Source organism: Homo sapiens, chromosome 4 (assembly GCF_000001405.40).
Source record: "Homo sapiens chromosome 4, GRCh38.p14 Primary Assembly".
Classification (NCBI taxonomy): domain Eukaryota; kingdom Metazoa; phylum Chordata; class Mammalia; order Primates; family Hominidae; genus Homo; species Homo sapiens.
In genome coordinates this window covers 23,614,219-23,635,282 of record NC_000004.12, presented here as the reverse complement: position 1 = coordinate 23,635,282, position 21,064 = coordinate 23,614,219, and the positions used below count along the sequence as shown (strand labels likewise).

Genomic DNA, 21,064 nt, shown 5'->3' with positions numbered 1-21,064 from the left:
TTACATTTAAGTCTCTAATCCATTTTAAGTTGATTTTTGCATACAGTGCAAGATAAGGTTCCGGTTTCATTCTTTTGCATGTGGATATCTGGTTTTTTCAGCACTATTTGTTGAAGAGAAAGAAGATTCTTTCCCATTGTGTATTGTTGGCACCCTTGTCAAAGATCAGTTGACTGTATATGGGTGGATTCATTTTGTGACTCTACTTTGTTTTCTTGGTCTATATGCCTGCTCTATGCTAGCACCATACTGTTTTGTCTGCTTTAGCTTTGCAATATATTTTGAAATAAGAAAGTATAATATCTCTAGCTTTATTTTTCTTTCTCAAGATTAATTTGGGTTTGTGACATTTTTGTCACTCCAGATGAATTTTAGAATTTTTTAAATTTCTGTTAAAAACACCAGTGAGATTTTGATATGGATTGCATTGAATATGTAGCTTGATTTGAGTAATATGGACATGAAGAAATAGAAAATCTAAGCAGATGTGTAACTAGTATGGAGTTTGAACCAGTAATCAAATATCTCCCAACAAAGAAAAGCCCAAGGCCCGATGGCTTCATTGGTGAATTTTCCTGAACATTCAAAGAATTTGTACCACTCCTTCTCAAATTTTTCCAAAAAATTAAAGAGAAAGGAATATTTCATAACTCACTTTATAAGATCGACATTCTCTTGATAACAATGTAGTCAAATAAGCTACAAAAAAGAAAATTATAGGTTAATATTGTTAGTGAAAATAGACATGAAACTCCTCAATATGACACTAGCAAGCTGAATCCAATAGCATATTAAAAGAATCATACACCATGACCAAGTGGGATTGATTCCTGAGATACAAGAACAATTCAACATATGAAAATTAATTAATGTGATGTATATACATTAGAAAGATAAGGGAAAAAAACCAACATGATCATCTCAATGAATGCATCAAAAGCATTTGACAAAATTTATCCTTTCATGATAAAAACTCTCAAAAAATTGGGCATAAAATAAATGTTTCTCAACACAATAAAGACTATATATGACAAGCCCACAGCTAACATTATACCCAACAATAGAAAAGTGAAAGCTTTTCCTCTAAAATCAGAAACAAGGCAAGAATGCTCACTCTTCCTACTCCTATTCAACATAGCACTAAAAGTCATAGCTAGAACAATTAGGCAAGAAAAAAAGTTATCCATCCACATTGCAAAAGAAGAAGTAAAATTGTTCCTATTTTCAGATGGTGTGATCTTATATATAGAAAACCCTAAAGATTCCATTTAAAAAACTGTTAGAACTAATAAATAAATACAATAGTCCTTGCCTTGTCCCTGGTTGTACTTTCTTTGGTTTCAGTTACATGCAGTCAACCATGGTCCGAAAATACTGCATACAATAAGATATTTTGAGAGAGAAGGGAGGAGAGACCACATTCCTATAACGAAGATTGCAGTATATTGTTATAATTGTTCTATTTTATTATTAGTTATTAATCTCTTTTTTTTTTTTTTTTTTTTTTTTTGAGATGGAGTCTTGTTCCATTGCCCAGGCTACAGTGCAGTGGCACAAACTTGGCTCATTGCAACCTCTCCCTCCTGGATTCAAGTGACCCTCCTGCCTCAGCTTCCCAAGTACCTGGGATTACAGGCATGTACCACCACGCCTGGCTAATTTTTGTACTTTTAGTAGAGACGGGGTTTCACCATGTTGGCCAGGCTGGTCTCAAACTGCTGCCCTCAAGTGATCTGCCCACCTTAGCCTCCCAAAGTGCTGGGATTACAGGCATGAGCCACTGCACCTGGCCCTAATTATTAATTTCTTACTGTTCCTAATTTATAAATTAAACTTTATTATATTTATATGTGGACAGCACAAAACATAGTATATATAGGATTTGGTATTCTATAGCTTCAAGCAACCACTGGTGGTCTTGAATGTACCGCCTGCAGATAAGCGAGAGCTGCTATGTAATAAAGCTGAGGATAAAAAGTCAATATACAAAAATGAGCTGTGTTTCTATATACTAACAATAAACTATCTGAAAAGAAAAATATGAAAATAATCCCATTTACATACAATACCACCTAAAAGAATAATATATGTAGGAAAAAACTAAAGAGTTTCGTGAAAGACTTGTATATTGAAAACTGTGATGCATTCCTGAAAGAAATTAAAACAAGGCACAAAGAAATGAAAAGACATTCATCCTGTGTTCATGGATTGGAAGACCGAGGTTTTAAAATCTTGAGCTAGTAGAGTAGTACTAGAATGTAGTGTCAATTGGAGATCATTTTATTTCCAACTGGCCAGATATTTCCTGCTATGAAGCATTGGCATATTTCAGCTTAATACTTTGTGACTTTTTTGTTGACTGATCATTTACAAGCCTGGTTCTCCAGGTTTTCATAGGTTCTGTGAGTTCCTTCTTATGTTACCATGTCTTCCCAGGAAAAATCCTCCCATTTAATTTATCTAGAATCAGTTTCCTTTGTTCTCAAAATCTGAAACTCTGATGGTACACTGACAGCCATCCTACATTGTAACTATTGGAAAATACTTTCTTTCAGTCCAGTGAAACTTATCAAGAAGTATTTTTAGTATCCACATAAAATTAAAAGTAAGGACTAAATTCTGTAACATGGATCTCACCTCAGGGACCTAGAAAAACACGAATGGCTATGATTTATCAATTCAAAGTTTTACAAGTGTTTTAATGTCATAAACATATTTTTAGCTCTAGTATATATTAAGCATTAATTCTCATGATGACCACAAATGAGTAGCCTCAGGGGTATAAAATGTCATTTTTCAATTTGAAACAGAAGACTTCAGTATGTTGTGGGATCGTTGATTATCTTATGCTCCTGAATTTTCTCAGAATCTTAGACCCAGAGGATTTTTTTTGTTTCCTTCTCTTTTTTTCAGTTGTTATGCTGCTGTTCTTCAAGATCTTTTGTTGCAAAGGACATATTCTTTGACCAGTTTAAGCTACTCTCAATGTTCTGAAGACAACCTGTTAATTTTCTAATTCCTTTGTATTTAAAATCTTCCTGAAGTGGTGCATTGGGTTTTTAATAACTCTCATGACAGCAAAGCCAATCAGAAGACCCGTCATTGGCCTGTTTTCTGTAGTCTTTGACATTATATTATTTCCAATGATAGACACTCAGAACCTTAAAGCAGCTTTAATTCAATGAGGTAAGTGTTTTCTTAGATTCCAGAAACCAAAGCAGCTTTTAAACCAGGAAGTTGACATAATTCGCTTTGAGTTCTGTCCTGAAAAGACAATTTGTCCGCTTTGGCTCTACTTCCTTAGTCAGTGGATTAAACAGGATAACAAATATATTTATTTTGTATTGCAAAACTATTTCTTTGTATTGCAAATAAATTTATCCAAAAGAATACAAAGCCACCGTTCCTTCAAAAGCAGTGGTGGGCAGGAGGCTCCGGACTGTGTGACAGGCAAGAGTTTGTGTTTGCTTAGTCCTGTATTGACTGTAAGCCCATCTTCCTCTCTCTGTCCTCCCTCCTGTTCCAGTTTACCTGGGGTGAGGAAGCAGTAGCTGCTGCCAAGCTTTCTGCAGAAGAGGTTACAGCAGGAGAATGACACAGCACTTTAAGGACTCTAGAGAAACAAAGAAACCTCTGCTTCCTTTGTAGAGCACAGGTAATATCCTTGTATTGCTACTTATAATTGTGTCTATTTTCAGGGATTAAAAACTCTCTTATTTCTTCCTACGATGACAATTCTCTTATTTAAACCCTGAACAGTGTCTCCTTACCCCTTTATATCAGGTGACAACCTTATTACTAAATTTCCATGGTTCTCATATGACTCCAACCTGCCTTTCTCCACCTCCCCTTGCCTTCAGTCAACGAGGACTGTTTCAAGCAATTCTCTTCCCTGCCCTGGTTCTATTGTGTTCTGCTTTAGAGACATTCTTTCTGGATGTTTTAACTTAATCAGATCCTCCCTCAATTTCTACTCACCACTAAAGTGTCACTTCCCTCATGCCTTCTTTTGTAGGTAATATTTTGCATTAATTATTTTGGCCTTTCTCTGGTCTTACTATGTACCAGGTATTATAAGCACTGAATGAGGTCCACAACAATGGTGAGATCACACATGGTCCCTGTCCTCAGAACTTCTATTTAGTAGAGAAACAGGTAATTCATTATAGTGCATATGACAGGGGGTGTAGGTAAACACAGGTCCCATAGGAATAAGAGTAGGGCCTTTAATGTATATTTCTAGGATAGGGTTGTATTCCTGGATTTAATAAGAGCTACATGAGCATGTAGGCATCAGCTAGGTGAAGAAGATGGCTATCATAAACCAAGGAAACATGTGTTTTTATTCTTATTTTTGTCAGCTGTATAGTTAATTCACATACATTCTAAAATTTTTGAAAAATAGAAAATGATGAAGAAGGAAAAAACCAATGATCTGTAGTCCTATCATTCAAGTATCATTAAAACCACTAAAATGACAACACTTTGTTCCCTAATCTTGGGTATGTGTTGTGTGTGTGGTGGTGGTGGACGGGGGGAGGTGGTAATGTAGAGATATGCTAAATTTTGTATTTTTCAACTTATTTACTGTATATACAATTTTGAATACTGCATTTTTTTTCACTTAAAATTGTACTATAGGCTTTGTTTCACTCCATTAAGGCTTTCAAAAACATCATTTTAAAGGCTCATTTAGTCTTTCTACATGAATTCCTCCTGGTTTCTCTTACTCCTGTGGTCACACCCACCAGTAATCTGTCTTCGCCATGCCTCTAAATCAGACTTGCCTTCTTGGCACTCCTTTGGAATTGATAATAGCAGTCACAGCTGTAATCTCAATCATTTGTGTGAATGCAGCATGGCCCAGTGTCCCCAGATGGTTAGGTCAAACATACCTAAAGACAGGACATTCCAGGCATTATCTTTCACCACTTTTGAAACTCCCTTCCATGAGTGGAATTCCTGACTAATCTATTGATTGATGTTTCTTTAAAACAAATGGGAATCAAAAGGCAATGCACTTGGGTTGCTTATACTCTGAACCTTACTTGACTTTTTTCATTGGGCAACATTTAAGTACCTCACACTGTGAGTTATTGATTTTATCAGTCATCATCTGTCCTAGAACTTTCCATTAAATCAAGGTTAGGGTAAGTATTAAGACATCAGTGATATTTCTACCTATAACTTTTGAAACTCTCCACTTCAGTATTTAACTAGAAGTATGAAAAAGAATCTATGGGAAACTTTTTCAAAATGCATTATGGCCAGGTCCTACCTAAGATATATTATTTTGGATGTGACAGGCTAGAAGAAGGACCTGAGCATATGCATTTTGAAAAGGCAGCACAAATGATTCTAGTGGGCATTCCTCAAAAGGAAGTACCGTCCTAATCTGATCCCTCAAAGGATAATGTTTTCTAAGGTTTCACTTGTCCACTGTATTAGTGAATTTTCACACTGCTATAAAGAAATACCTGAGACTGAGTCATTTAAAAGAAAAGAGGTTTAATTGCCTCATAGGTTTGCGTGGCTGGGGAGGCATCAGGAAACTTCTTATCATGGCAGAAGGCAAAGGGGAAACAAGCACCTCATATCTGGTGGCAGGAAAGAGAGAGAGCAAGAGCCAGGAAATGCTACACTTTAAAACCATCAACTGTCGTGAGAACTCCCCCAACATCACAAGAACAGCATGGGGGGAACTGCCACCATGATCCAATCACCTCCCACCAGGGGCCCTCCCTCAACAATGGGGATTACAATTTGATATGAAATTTCCATGGGGACTCAGAGCCAAACCATATTATCTACCTTGTTTTTTCATATATGCTTTTATTGATAAATATACTCTACCTTCATAATGTTATAACCATCTATATGCTGATGAGTCCTAAATCTCTATCTTCACCTTTAATTCACAGATTAAAACGCATGCAGCTGACAACCTTCTGAGAAAATCCAATTGGCAGTCTCCAGCCTTCCCCAACTCACTGAACTCACCATCTCATCTTCACTCCTCAGCCTACTCTCTCCCCAGACTCCCTTGCACAATGGTATCCCTCTTTTCTTGTACACTCAAGTCAGAAAACTGGGCAACCACCTTAAGCTTTAAATCCTTTAAATGACAATCATATAGAGAATTATTCTAAATTTCTTAGTCTCCCAGGACCACCTCCAACCTATGTCTATAGCTTTAATTTCTGCCTTCGTCAACTCACAGTTGATGTGCTTACACTGTTCAACATCTTGGAATTAACCACGTTTACCATTCTGTTTCCTACTTGATTCATTTTATTCCAACTGTAAAAGTCTTCCCATGCTTATTTCCCTAAATCTCATCTCATCTGTGTGTCCTCTCCTCTCCTTTTCTGAATTATCAGGTATATCCAACAGCTCTCCTTGTGTTACTACAACGTTTTATGCATGTATCTTTTACATGACTACTTTCTCCTCTTAGGCAATAAACACATGGAGGGCAGAGCCTGTGTCTATTTCCTTTTGTACTCGCAGTGCAATGTCGTGTGCTTGGCATATAGAAAGTGCTCAACTTGACTAAATTTTGATTGGATTGACTGAGCAGGTACAAGTGCACTAGTATTTGATACATGCTTAGCCCTTATAAAACCTTGAAACTTAGAGAATTGGGAGAGACAAAGGTAAAGAGGCAGTGTATCATGTGAATCAATTACTACTAGCTGCCCCGGTGGACCACTTCGCTGGAACTACTACGGGTTTAGCCTGGAGTATATCTAGCTCCTTGAGACTGATTCTGAAGGCTTGTTGGAAACAGTTCATTACTGTTTTTAAAATTCTCTCTTTCATTTTAAAGCCGCAGCAGCTTTCAAGTTTCTTCAGTTATTTGAGCCATGTTTCCATCTAATGTCTTGATATTACTTTAAAATAAATCAACCCAATGGGGATGGGGCAATGGTGGGGGAGTTTACGTGTAGAGGTAATTGAAAGGGAGAAAAATCAGATAAAGACAAATGCATGCAGACACACAGCAAGAATCCATGGTAACACACCTACCTATGCACCACTTGCTTGCTCTGCCTTCCATTCTCTAAACTGTCCACTGGGGTGAAATGTATAAGAAAATGAATGATGCCAGATATGATTGCAGTTAGGATCAGCATTGCAAAAGGCCCCTTAATGATTGTCAACTGGAACAAATCAGGCCTCAATTTTCCCCTTTTCATTATCTTTAAAGCAGGTTGCATTCACGGGTAATTAAAGATTATCTTGTATGTTTTCCTTTGATGTTTCCTTAGCTAGGGAGGACTATTCTGCACAAAGAAAGCCAGAAACAATAATACTGCATGCTTACTTTCTTTTTGTTTTCAATCATGAAATCCAGCAAAGGGTCAGACTCTAGGAACTTCAGAGCTAAATCTTGGTGTCAGTTTTGAAATAAGAGTTATTCCCAGTGAGGTTTGAAAAAGGGAGAACCATAGCTTCCAGGCCGCTTATTCATGGGATAAAAATTAAATCACGAAAGAACATTGAAAGGAAAACAAAGGCAATTAGGTAGACCAAAAACAGACTCTATATCTTATTTCTGAAACATTTTAAAATTTGGGCTTCATGAAAATCTGTGTTTGTGGAAGAATGCAGTATGATTTTGATTCAGACAGATGCATTTAGAATAGACATATGTACTGAAGGATGGCAGATGTGTTTGATGAAGCCAGATGTACAAAAGCAGTCAGATGTGTATGTCTCTTGAAGTGAAAGATGAAATCAAACACATATATATATACACATATACATACACGTATATATACATATATACACATATATACATATATACACTTATATACATATATATACATATATATCACATTACATTTGGTAGTCATGTCTCTTTAGGCTTCTTTTGGTTGTGACACTTTCCTGATTTTCTTTGTTTCCGATGACCTTGATAGTTTAGAGAGTACTGGTCAGATATTTTGTCGAATGTCCTTCAATTTTGTCTGATGTTTTTCCATGATTAGATTAGGCATGTGGGTTTTGCGTGAAGAATACAAGAGCAGAGTCACTTTCTTTACATTATATCAAGAGTATGAACTATCAATATAACTTATCATTGTTGCTGTTGACCTTGATCACTTGGCTAAGGTAGTGTTTGTGCCTGTCCCTTTCCATACTGTCTGTACTTTAAGTCACTATGAACAGCCCACACTTAAGGATGGGGAGTTATACTCCACTTCCTGGAGGGTAGAGTAACTACATAAGCTGTTTGGAACTTTTCTGAAAGGAAGGGTTGTCTCTTCTCCTGCATTTATTTATCCTTTATTTATGTCATCATGAACTCAGATATATTTATTTTATACTTTAAACATGTGTCTTTTGGTAGAACGTATGAATGCATGTGTCTTTTTGGTGAAACAATGTATTTTCTTTTGAAAATATACCCGGTAATGAGATTGCTGGGTCGAAGGGTAGCAGTGTTTTAAGTTCTTTCAGAAATATCCAAACTGCTTTCCTTCGCTGAACTAATTTACATTGCCACCAACAGTGTGTAAATATTATTTTACTTAATTTGTTGCTCACATTTTTTTATCTTTGTCTACTGAGAGTTCCTTCGGTTGGCTCTTGGGACATCTTCACATTCGTGCTATTGATTATTGAGTGTTGTGTGAGAGAGAGAGAGAGAGAGTGTGTGTGTGCGTTTGTGTGTGTGTGAGTGTGTGTGGGCAGTTTGTGTAGTTTTGAGCACTACAGTATGTTCTGGGAACTTCTTGTATATTTCCAGCCCGTTTTACTTTATATATTTTTATTTTTTTAATTAATTTCAACTTTTATTTTAGATTCAGGGGATACATGTGCAGGTTTGTTACCTGGGCATATTGTGTGATGCTGAGGCTTAGGTACAATTGATCTTATCACCCAGGTACTTAGCATAGTACCTGATAACTTCTCAACCTTTGCCCTTCTCCCTCTCATCCCATTCTAATAGTCCCTAGTGTCTATCATTGACATCTTTATAAGTAACCAATATTTAGCTCCCACTTATAAGTGAGAACATGTGATATTTGGTTTTCTATCCCTGTGTTAATTTGCTTAGGATAATGGACTATAGATGCATCCATGTTGCAGTGAAAGACAGATTTTATTCTTTTTTATTGCTGTGTAATATTTCATAGTGTATATGTATCACATTTTCCTTATCTAGTCCACTGTTGATGGGCACCTGGATTTGATTCCATGTCTTTGCAATTGTGAATAGTGCTGCAATAAATATAAAAGTTCATGTGTCTATTTGATAGAACAGTTTTTTTTTTGAAAATATACTCAGTAATGAAATTGCCACATGAAAAGATAGCTGTGTTTTAAGTTCTTTGGCTGAACTAATTTGCATTGCCACCAAGAGTATATAAGCTTTTCCTGTTCTCTGCAACCTTTTCAGCATCTGTTGTTTTATGACTTTTTAAATAATAACTATTCTAACAGATGTGAGTTTGTATCTCATTGTGGTTTTGATTTGCATTTCTCTGATAATTAGCGATGTTGAGCATTTTTCATGTTTGTTGGCCACTTATATGTCTTTTTTGATAAGTGCCTGTTCATGTCTTTAGCCCATATTTAAGTTGGGTTATTTGTTTTTTGCTTGTTCAATTGTTTAAGTTCCTTACAGATTCTAGATTTTAGACCTTTGTTAGATGCAGTTTGCAAATATTTTCTGTCATTCTTTATATTGTCTATTTATGCTGTTTATCACTTCTATTGCTGTGCAAGAAACTTGTGAGTTTAATTAGATCCCACTGTTAAATTTTTGTTTTTGTTGCAATTGCTTTTGAGGACTTAATCATAAATTCCTTCCCAAGGCCAATGTCAAAACTGGTGTTTCTTAGGTTTTCTCCTGAGATTCTTATAGTTTGAAGTCTAACATTTAAATTATTAATCTATTTCGAGTTAACTTTTGTATATGATGAAAAGTAGGGGTCCAATTTCAATCTTCTGCATATGGCTAGCCAGCTATCCAAGCACAATGTATTGACTAGGAAGTCCTTTCCCCATTTCTTATTCTTGTCAACTTTGGTAAAGATTTGATGGCTCTAGGCATGCAGTTTTATTTTTGGGTTCTCTATGTTATTCCATTATCCTATGTGTCTGTTTTTGTACCAGTACCATGCTGCTTTGATTACTGTAGTTTTATAGTATAATTTGAAGTCAGGTAATGTGATGTCTTTGGTTTTGTTCTTTTTGATTAGGATTGCTTTGGCTATTTGGGCTATTTTTTGGGTCTATGTAAATTTTAAAATAGTTTTTTCTAGTTCTGTGAAAATTACATTGGTAGTTTGATAGTAATAGCACTGAAAGTCTAGATTGCTTTGGGCAGGATGGCTATTTTAATGATATTGATGTTTTGATCCATGAGCATAAAATGTTTTTTCATTGTTTGTATCATGTATGATTTCTTTCAGCAGTGTTTTGTAGTTCTTCTTGTAGAGATCTGTTACTTGCTTGGTTAGATGTATTCCAATGCATTTTTTTTCCAGCTATTGCAAATGGGATTATGTTCTTCATTTGGCTCTCAGATTGATCTTTGTGTATAGAAATGCTACCGATTTTCATATGTTTATTTTGTATTCTGAAATTTTACTGAAGTTCTTTATCAGTTTCAAGAGTCTTTTGGTGGAGTCTTTACAGTTTTCTAGGTCTAGAATCATATTTTCAGTGAAGAGAGATAATTTGACTTCTTCTTTTCGTATTTCAATGTCTTTTATTTCTTTCTCTTGCCTGATTGCTCTGGCTAGGACTTCCTATACTATGTTGAATAGGAGATCTTGTATTATTCCAGTTATCAAGGGGAATGCTTCCAGATTTTGCCCATTCAGTATGATGTTGGCTGTGGGTTTGTCATGGATGACTCAAAATTTTGACGTATGTTCCTTTGAAGGCTAGTTTCTTGAGGGTTTTCTTGATGAAGGAATGTTGAATTTTATTGAAAGCTTTTTCCATTTTTATTGAGATGATAATATGGTTTTTGTTTTTAATTCTTTTTATGTGGTGAATCACGTTTATTGATTTGTGTATGTTGAATCAACCTTACAAACCAGAATGAAGCCTACTTGACCATGGTGAACAAACTTTTTGATGGGCTGCTGGATTCAGTTTGATAGCACTTTCTTGAGGTCTTTTTGCATCTATGTTCATCAAGGATATTGGCTGGTAGTTTTCTTTTTTCATTGTGTCTTTGCTAGATGTTGGTATTAGGGTGATGCTTACTCTGTAGAATTAGTTAGGGAGGAGTCCCTTTTCCTCGAGTTTTTGAAATAGTACTAATTCTATAGTACCAGCTCTTCTTGTATGTCTGGTACAATTCAGCTGTGATTTCATCTGGTCCAGGACTTTCTTCATTTGGTAAATTAATTATTTATTTATTTATTTATTTATTTATTTTTACTCATTCAATTGTGAAACTCATTATTCGTCTCCTCAGGGTTTCAATTTCTTTCTGATTCAATCTTGAGAGACTGTGTTTTTCCAGAAATTTATCCATTTCCTCTAGCTTTTCTTCTTCATGTGCATAGAGTTGTTCATTATATCTGAGTATCTTTTGTATTTCTGTGGGATTGGCTGTAATGTCACCTTTTCATTTCTGATTATGCTTATTTGGATCTTCTCCTTTCTTTGTTAATCTAGCTAGTGTTCTGTCAATCTTGTTTATCCTTTCAAAGAATCATCTTTTGGTTTTGTTGATTATTCCTATGTATTTTGGAGTCTCAATTTTCTTCAGTTTAGTTCTGATTTTAGTCATTTCTTTCTGCTAGCTTTTTTAATTTTTTAGTTCCTCTAGGTATGATGTTAGATTGTTAATTTGAGATCTTCTAACTTTTTAAGTTAGGTGCGTATTGCTATAGATTTTCCCCTTAACACTGCTTTTACTGCATCCCAGAAGTTTTGGTGTATTCTGTCTCTGTTTTGATTCATTTCAAAGAATTACTTGATTTCTGCCTTAATTTTGTTGTTTACCCAAAAGTCATTCATGAGCAAGTTGTTTAGTTTTCATGTAATTGTGTAGTTTTGAGAGATATTCTAGGTATTGATTTATATTTTTATTCCAATATGTTCCAAGGATATGGTTGGTATGGCTTTGATTTTTTTGAAATTTATTTGAGACCTGCTTTATGGCCACCTATGTGGTCAATCTTGGAGTATGTTCCATGTGCAGATGAGGAGAATTTATATCTGGTTGTTGATGTGTTGAGTATTCTGGAGAGGTCTATTGGATTCAATTGGTCCTGTCAAATTTCAATTCAGAATTTCTTTGTTAGTTTTCTGACTTGGTGATCTGCTTAATGCTGTCGGCACTGAAGTCTTCTACTATTATTGTCTGACTGTCTAAGTCTCTTTGTAGGTCTAACTGTACTTGTTTTCTAATTCTGGGTCAACGTTGGTGCATATGTATATATATATTTAGGATAGTTAAGTATTCTTGTTGTATTTGAACCCTTTATTATTATGTAATGCCCTTCTTTGCCTATTTTTACTGTTCCTGGTTTAAAGTCTGTTTTATGTAACATAAGAATAGCTCTTTTTTGTGTTTCTGCTCTTTTTTTGTTTTCTCTTTGCATGACAGATCTTTCTCCAACCCTTTACTTTGAGCCAGTGGGTGTCTTTATGTGTGCGATGCAACTCTGGAATACAATAGATGGTTGGGTCTTGTTTCTCTATCCAGCTTGCCACTCTGTGCCTTTCAAGTGGGGCATAGAGGTCATTTGCATTCAAGGCTAATATTGATAAGTGAAGTTTTGATTATATTGTGAAGTTGTTAGCTGGTTGCTTTGTAGTTTCTATCATGTGGTTGCTTTGTAGAGTATGTGGGCTATGTACTTAAGTATGTTTTTGTGGTGGCAGGTATCATTTATTGTTTCCATGTTTAGAACTCCCTTAAGGATGTCTGCTCTAATGGTAACAAATTCCCTTACCATTTGCTTGTCTTAGAATTTTTTTTTTCTCCTCTGCTTATGAAGCTTAGTTTTGTAGGATATGTCATTCTTGCTTGGAATTTCTATTCTTTAAGGATGCTGAAAGTAGGCCTTCAATCTGTCCTGGCTTGTAGGGCTTCTGCTGAGAAGCCCGCTCAGCCTGATAAAATTCTCTTTGTATGTGATATGACATTGTCCTCTAGCTGCCTTTTAGATTTTGTCTTTATTATTGATCTTGGACACTCTGTTGACTATATGACTTGATGATGTTCCTTTTGTATAGTATCTCACAGATGTTCTCTGGATTTCTTGTATCTGGATGTCTATATCTCTAGCAATATTAGGAAGATTTTCTTGAATTATTCCCTCAAATATATTTTCCAGGCTGTTTGTTTTTATTCCTTCATTCTCATGAATGCCAATAATTCACTGATTTGGCTGCCTTACATAATTCTATATTTCTCAAAGACCATTCATCTTTAAAAATTTTTTTCTTTGTTTTTGTCTGACAGGATTAGTTTGAAATACCAGTCTTTATGCTCTGAAATTCTTCCTTCTGTTTGATCTAGTCTATTGATAAAGCTCTCAATTGCATTTTGAATTTTCTTAAGTGAGTTTTTCAATTCCGGAAGCTCTGGTTGATTTCTTTTTTATGACATATATCTCTTCCTTCATTTCCTGGATTGCTTTAGAAGTATTTTGTGTGTTGATTTTCAACCTTGTATCTTGTTGAGTTTTTTTGCAATACATGCTTTGAATTCTTTATCTGTCATTTCTGAATTTCCATTTTGGATAGGGACCATAGCTAGAGAGCTAGAATGATTTTTGGTATTGTCAGCACATTCAGATGCAGAATTCTAGAATTCTTGCTCTGATTCTTTCTCATCTAGAGAAGCTGGTACTTCTAATTTTTGTAATTATTTTCATATGAATAGAATTTTTTCTTTGTGTTTCATTCCCATTAATTTTTTTTTTCTTTTGCTTTCCCTTCTTCCACCCCCTTTCTGCGGGTTGTGACTTTAGAGAATGTTGGGTAGAGTCTTTTGGCTTTGCTTCTACACTCCTATGCACTTCTGTTGACAGGTTTTTTTTTTGTTTTTTTTGTTTTTGTTTTTGTTTTCTGCTTGGCACCATTTAATCAAGTGTGAGTGTCAAATTCTTTATAGCTTCAAATTAACAACAAGGAACTGTAATTTTTGTGTTTGTTTGTTTAAAAGACCAGCCGAGATTTTTCTTTTTGCCTGTTTAAGCTTTATTTAATTCAAGCTCCAATCTGCCCCTCTTTGATTTCATTTCCAAATCCTAAATAAAAGTGATAACTCTTTCTGCCAATTGTAACAAACTGCTGGTGCCAGTTATTGCTTTTTGAAAAAAAAAAGCAAAACCAAAACCAAAAAAAAAAAACCTTTTAATACTTAGCGGACAGCTTTATCCAAAAGCGGGGAGAAAACCCTGGCCTTTCAAAACCATCCAATATATTTGTAACAACCTCTTTACTGAGTTCATGTATCTTCTTTTTTTTTTTTATTTTTTTTTATTTTATTATTATTATTATTATTATACTCTAAGTTTTAGGGTACATGTGCACATTGTGCAGGTTAGTTACATATGTATACATGTGCCATGCTGGTGCGCTGCACCCACTAACGTGTCATCTAGCATTAGGTATATCTCCCAATGCTATCCCTCCCCCCTCCCCCGACCCCACCACAGTCCCCAGAGTGTGATATTCCCCTTCCTGTGTCCATGTGATCTCATTGTTCAATTCCCACCTATGAGTGAGAATATGCGGTGTTTGGTTTTTTGTTCTTGCAATAGTTTACTGAGAATGATGGTTTCCAATTTCATCCATGTCCCTACAAAGGACATGAACTCATCATTTTTTATGGCTGCATAGTATTCCATGGTGTATATGTGACACATTTTCTTAATCCAGTCTATCATTGTTGGACATTTGGGTTGGTTCCAAGTCTTTGCTATTGTGAATAGTGCCGCAATAAACATACGTGTGCACGTGTCTTTATAGCAGCATGATTTATAGTCCTTTGGGTATATACCCAGTAATGGGATGGCTGGGTCAAATGGTATTTCTAGTTCTAGATCCCTGAGGAATCGCCACACTGACTTCCACAATGGTTGAACTAGTTTACAGTCCCACCAACAGTGTCAAAGTGTTCCTATTTCTCCACATCCTCTCCAGCACCTGTTGTTTCCTGACTTTTTAATGATTGCCATTCTAACTGGTGTGAGATGATATCTCATAGTGGTTTTGATTTGCATTTCTCTGATGGCCAGTGATGATGAGCATTTCTTCATGTGTTTTTTGGCTGCATAAATGTCTTCTTTTGAGAAGTGTCTGTTCATGTCCTTCGCCCACTTTTTGATGGGGTTGTTTGTTTTTTTCTTGTAAATTTGTTTGAGTTCATTGTAGATTCTGGATATTAGCCCTTTGTCAGATGAGTAGGTTGCGAAAATTTTCTCCCATGTTGTAGGTTGCCTGTTCACTCTGATGGTAGTTTCTTTTGCTGTGCAGAAGCTCTTTAGTTTAATTAGATCCCATTTGTCAATTTTGGCTTTTGTTGCCATTGCTTTTGGTGTTTTGGACATGAAGTCCTTGCCCATGCCTATGTCCTGAATGGTAATGCCTAGGTTTTCTTCTAGGGTTTTTATGGTTTTAGGTCTCATGTTTAAATCTTTAATCCATCTTGAATTGATTTTCGTAAAAGGTGTAAGGAAGGGATCCAGTTTCAGCTTTCTACATATGGCTAGCCAGTTTTCCCAGCACCATTTATTAAATAGGGAATGCTTTCCCCATTGCTTGTTTTTCTCAGGTTTGTCAAAGATCAGATAGTTGTAGATATGCGGCATTATTTCTGAGGGCTCTGTTCTGTTCCATTGATCTATAACTCTGTTTTGGTACCAGTACCATGCTGTTTTGGTTACTGTAGCCTTGTAGTATAGTTTGAAGTCAGGTAGTGTGATGCCTCCAGCTTTGTTCTTTTGGCTTAGGATTGACTTGGCGATGCGGGCTCTTTTTTGGTTCCATATGAACTTTAAAGTCGTTTTTTCCAATTCTGTGAAGAAAGTCATTGGTAGCTTGATGGGGATGGCATTGAATCTGTAAATTACCTTGGGCAGTATGGCCATTTTCATGATATTGATTCTTCCTACCCATGAGCATGGAATGTTCTTCCATTTGTTTGTGTCCTCTTTTATTTCCTTGAGCAGTGGTTTGTAGTTCTCCTTGAAGAGGTCCTTCACATCCCTTATAAGTTGGATTCCTAGGTATTTTATTCTCTTTGAAGCAATTGTGAATGGGAATTCACCCATGATTTGGCTCTCTGTTTGTCTGTTGTTGGTGTATAAGAATGCTTGTGATTTTTGTACACTGATTTTGTATCCTGAGACTTTGCTGAAGTTGCTTATCAGCTTAAGGAGATTTTGCGCTGAGACCATGGGGTTTTCTAGATACACAATCATGTCGTCTGCAAACAGGGACAATTTGACTTCCTCTTTTCCTAATTGAATACCTTTTATTTCGTTCTCCTGCCTGATTGCCCTGGCCAGAACTTCCAACACTATGTTGAATAGGAGTGGTGAGAGAGGGCATCCCTGTCTTGTGCCAGTTTTCAAAGGGAATGCTTCCAGTTTTTGCCCATTCAGTATGATATTGGCTGTGGGTTTGTCATAGATAGCTCTTATTATTTTGAAATATGTCCCATCAATACCTAATTTATTGAGAGTTTTTAGCATGAAGGGTTGTTGAATTTTGTCAAAGGCTTTTTCTGCATCTATTGAGATAATCGTGTGGTTTTTGTCTTTGGCTCTGTTTATATGCTGGATTACATTTATTGATTTGCGTATATTGAACCAGCCTTGCATCCCAGGGATGAAGCCCACTTGATCATGGTGGATAAGCTTTTTGATGTGCTGCTGGATTCGGTTTGCCAGTATTTTATTGAGGATTTTTGCATCAATGTTCATCAAGGATATTGGTCTAAAATTCTCTTTTTTGCTTGTGTCTCTGCCCGGCTTTGGTATCAGAATGATGCTGGCCTCATAAAATGAGTTAGGGAGGATTCCCTCTTTTTCTATTGATTGGAATAGTTTCAGAAGGAATGGTACCAGTTCCTCCTTGTACCTCTGGTAGAATTCGGCTGTGAATCCATCTGGTCCTGGACTCTTTTTGGTTGGTAAACTATTGATTATTGCCACAATTTCAGAGCCTGTTATTGGTCTATTCAGAGATTCAACTTCTTCCTGGTTTAGTCTTGGGAGAGTGTATGTGTCGAGGAATGTATCCATTTCTTCTAGATTTTCTAGTTTATTTGCATAGAGGTGTTTGTAGTATTCTCTGATGGTAGTTTGTATTTCTGTGGGATCGGTGGTGATATCCCCTTTATCATTTTTTATTGTGTCTATTTGATTCTTCTCTCTTTTTTTCTTTATTAGTCTTGCTAGTGGTCTATCAATTTTGTTGATCCTTTCAAAAAACCAGCTCCTGGATTCATTGATTTTTTGAAGGGTTTTTTGTGTCTCTATTTCCTTCAGTTCTGCTCTGATTTTAGTTATTTCTTGCCTTCTGCTAGCTTTTGAATGTGTTTGCTCTTGCTTTTCTAGTTCTTTTAATTGTGATGTTAGGGTGTCAATTTTGGATCTTTCCTGCTTTCTCTTGTAGGCATTTAGTGCTATAAATTTCCCTCTACACACTGCTTTGAATGCGTCCCAGAGATTCTGGTATGTGGTGTCTTTGTTCTCGTTGGTTTCAAAGAACATCTTTATTTCTGCCTTCATTTCGTTATGTACCCAGTAGTCATTCAGGAGCAGGTTGTTCAGTTTCCATGTAGTTGAGCGGCTTTGAGTGAGATTCTTAATCCTGAGTTCTAGTTTGATTGCACTGTGGTCTGAGAGATAGTTTGTTATAATTTCTGTTCTTTTACATTTGCTGAGGAGAGCTTTACTTCCAACTATGTGGTCAATTTTGGAATAGGTGTGGTGTGGTGCTGAAAAAAATGTATATTCTGTTGATTTGGGGTGGAGAGTTCTGTAGATGTCTATTAGGTCTGCTTGGTGCAGAGCTGAGTTCAATTCCTGGGTATCCTTGTTGACTTTCTGTCTCGTTGATCTGTCTAATGTTGACAGTGGGGTGTTAAAGTCTCCCATTATTAATGTGTGGGAGTCTAAGTCTCTTTGTAGGTCACTGAGGACTTGCTTTATGAATCTGGGTGCTCCTGTATTGGGTGCATAAATATTTAGGATAGTTAACTCCTCTTGTTGAATTGATCCCTTTACCATTATGTAATGGCCTTCTTTGTCTCTTTTGATCTTTGTTGGTTTAAAGTCTGTTTTATCAGAGACTAGGATTGCAACCCCTGCCTTTTTTTGTTTTCCATTGGCTTGGTAGATCTTCCTCCATCCTTTTATTTTGAGCCTATGTGTGTCTCTGCACGTGAGATGGGTTTCCTGAATACAGCACACTGATGGGTCTTGACTCTTTATCCAACTTGCCAGTCTGTGTCTTTTAATTGCAGAATTTAGTCCATTTATATTTAAAGTTAATATTGTTATGTGTGAATTTGATCCTGTCATTATGATGTTAGCTGGTGATTTTGCTCATTAGTTGATGCAGTTTCTTCCTAGTCTCGATGGTCTTTACATTTTGGCATGATTTTGCAGCGGCTGGTACCGGTTGTTCCTTTCCATGTTTAGCGCTTCCTTCAGGAGCTCTTTTAGGGCAGGCCTGGTGGTGACAAAATCTCTCAGCATTTGCTTGTCTATAAAGTATTTTATTTCTCCTTCACTTATGAAGCTTAGTTTGGCTGGATATGAAATTCTGGGTTGAAAATTCTTTTCTTTAAGAATGTTGAATATTGGCCCCCACTCTCTTCTGGCTTGTAGGGTTTCTGCCGAGAGATCCGCTGTTAGTCTGATGGGCTTTCCTTTGAGGGTAACCCGACCTTTCTCTCTGGCTGCCCTTAACATTTTTTCCTTCATTTCAACTTTGGTGAATCTGACAATTATGTGTCTTGGAGTTGCTCTTCTCGAGGAGTATCTTTGTGGCGTTCTCTGTATTTCCTGAATCTGAACGTTGGCCTGCCTTGCTAGATTGGGGAAGTTCTCCTGGATAATATCCTGCAGAGTGTTTTCCAACTTGGTTCCATTCTCCACATCACTTTCAGGTACACCAATCAGACGTAGATTTGGTCTTTTCACATAGTCCCATATTTCTTGGAGGCTTTGCTCATTTCTTTTTATTCTTTTTTCTCTAAACTTCCCTTCTCGCTTCATTTCATTCATTTCATCTTCCATTGCTGATACCCTTTCTTCCAGTTGATCGCATCGGCTCCTGAGGCTTCTGCATTCTTCACGTAGTTCTCGAGCCTTGGTTTTCAGCTCCATCAGCTCCTTTAAGCACTTCTCTGTATTGGTTATTCTAGTTATACATTCTTCTAAATTTTTTTCAAAGTTTTCAACTTCTTTGCCTTTGGTTTGAATGTCCTCCTGTAGCTCAGAGTAATTTGATCGTCTGAAGCCTTCTTCTCTCAGCTCGTCAAAATCATTCTCCATCCAGCTTTGTTCTGTTGCTGGTGAGGAACTGTGTTCCTTTGGAGGAGGAGAGGCGCTCTGCGTTTTAGAGTTTCCAGTTTTTCTGTTCTGTTTTTTCCCCATCTTTGTGGTTTTATCTACTTTTGGTCTTTGATGATGGTGATGTACAGATGGGTTTTCGGTGTAGATGTCCTTTCTGGTTGTTAGTTTTCCTTCTAACAGACAGGACCCTCAGCTGCAGGTCTGTTGGAATACCCTGCCGTGTGAGGTGTCAGTGTGCCCCTGCTGGGGGGTGCCTCCCAGTTAGGCTGCTTGGGGGTCAGGGGTCAGGGACCCACTTGAGGAGGCAGTCTGCCCGTTCTCAGATCTCCAGCTGCGTGCTGGGAGAACCACTGCTCTCTTCAAAGCTGTCAGACAGGGACACTTAAGTCTGCAGGGGTTACTGCTGTCTTTTTGTTTGTCTGTGCCCTGCCCCCAGAGGTGGAGCCTACAGAGGCAGGCAGGCCTCCTTGAGCTGTGGTGGGCTCCACCCAGTTCGAGCTTCCCGGCTGCTTTGTTTACCTAAGCAAGCCTGGGCAATGGCGGGCGCCCCTCCCCCAGCCTCGTTGCCGCCTTGCAGTTTGATCTCAGACTGCTGTGCTAGCAATCAGCGAGATTCCGTGGGCGTAGGACCCTCTGAGCCAGGTGTGGGATATAGTCTCGTAGTGCCCCGTTTCTTAAGCCGGTCTGAAAAGCGCAATATTCGGGTGGGAGTGACCCGATTTTCCAGGTGCGTCCGTCACCCCTTTCTTTGACTCAGAAAGGGAACTCCCTGACCCCTTGCGCTTCCCAGGTGAGGCAATGCCTCGCCCTGCTTCGGCTCGCGCACGGTGCGCACACACACTGGCCTGCGCCCACTGTCTGGCACTCCCTAGTGAGATGAACCCGGGTACCTCAGATGGAAATGCAGAAATCACCTGTCTTCTGCGTGGCTCACGCTGGGAGCTGTAGACCGGAGCTGTTCCTATTCGGCCATCTTGGCTCCTCCTCCCTCTGTTGACAGGTTTAATATAGGGCTGTGCAGTTTGACCTACAAGCCAGTAGATGGCAGTTATGGGTAAGAGCCAGCTGTAGCCAACATGGCTGGGTATATACTTGATCCTTGTTTCCTGGGAGAAGCTCTCTGTTGTCTCAGGCAAGAGCTGATTTATGAAGTTCAATGGTCTGTACTCCCTGTTCAGCCCTGAGGAGGTGGTCAAAAAGGGTGGGGCCAGACCTGACAAGTCCAACTACAGGTCCTCTGACAGCAGACACAAGCGCCTGTGCCAAGGAAGAATCCAGTGGGCAACCACTAAGCACCCAGAGGTGTGCTTAGGTGTGGAGCTGGGAAACCTCCTGGGCCCCAAGTTCTCTGCACAGGGATGGGGAGATGGCCTAAACTAATTCAGGAGAGTGAGAGCTCCAGATTCCTGGAGACCTGCCTGGATGTGGAGTGGACAGAACACATCCCTGCAGGAGGATCTCTGCACAGGAAGGGTGGCAGCCCCTGTTCTTAGAATCAAATATTTTCCCAAGGAACCCCAATTTCATTAGTCAGAGAGTGG

At 37.7% G+C, this 21,064-nt stretch overlaps 2 annotated features.

Annotated features, from left to right (window-relative positions):
* Nucleotides 2,598-3,797: an enhancer, noted in NCBI's record as "CDK7 strongly-dependent group 2 enhancer chr4:23633109-23634308 (GRCh37/hg19 assembly coordinates)". NCBI's record gives its function as "activates an origin of replication core promoter dependent on BRD2, BRD4, P300/CBP, MED14 and CDK7 cofactors, with strong dependence on CDK7, by STARR-seq in HCT116 cells {active_cell/tissue: HCT116}" and the evidence as "EXISTENCE:reporter gene assay evidence [ECO:0000049][PMID:35650434]".
* Nucleotides 19,651-20,211: an enhancer, noted in NCBI's record as "H3K27ac-H3K4me1 hESC enhancer chr4:23616695-23617255 (GRCh37/hg19 assembly coordinates)". NCBI's record gives its function as "activates a minimal SCP1, AML or CMV promoter by ChIP-STARR-seq in naive H9 embryonic stem cells {active_cell/tissue: H9 hESC(naive)}" and the evidence as "EXISTENCE:reporter gene assay evidence [ECO:0000049][PMID:30033119]".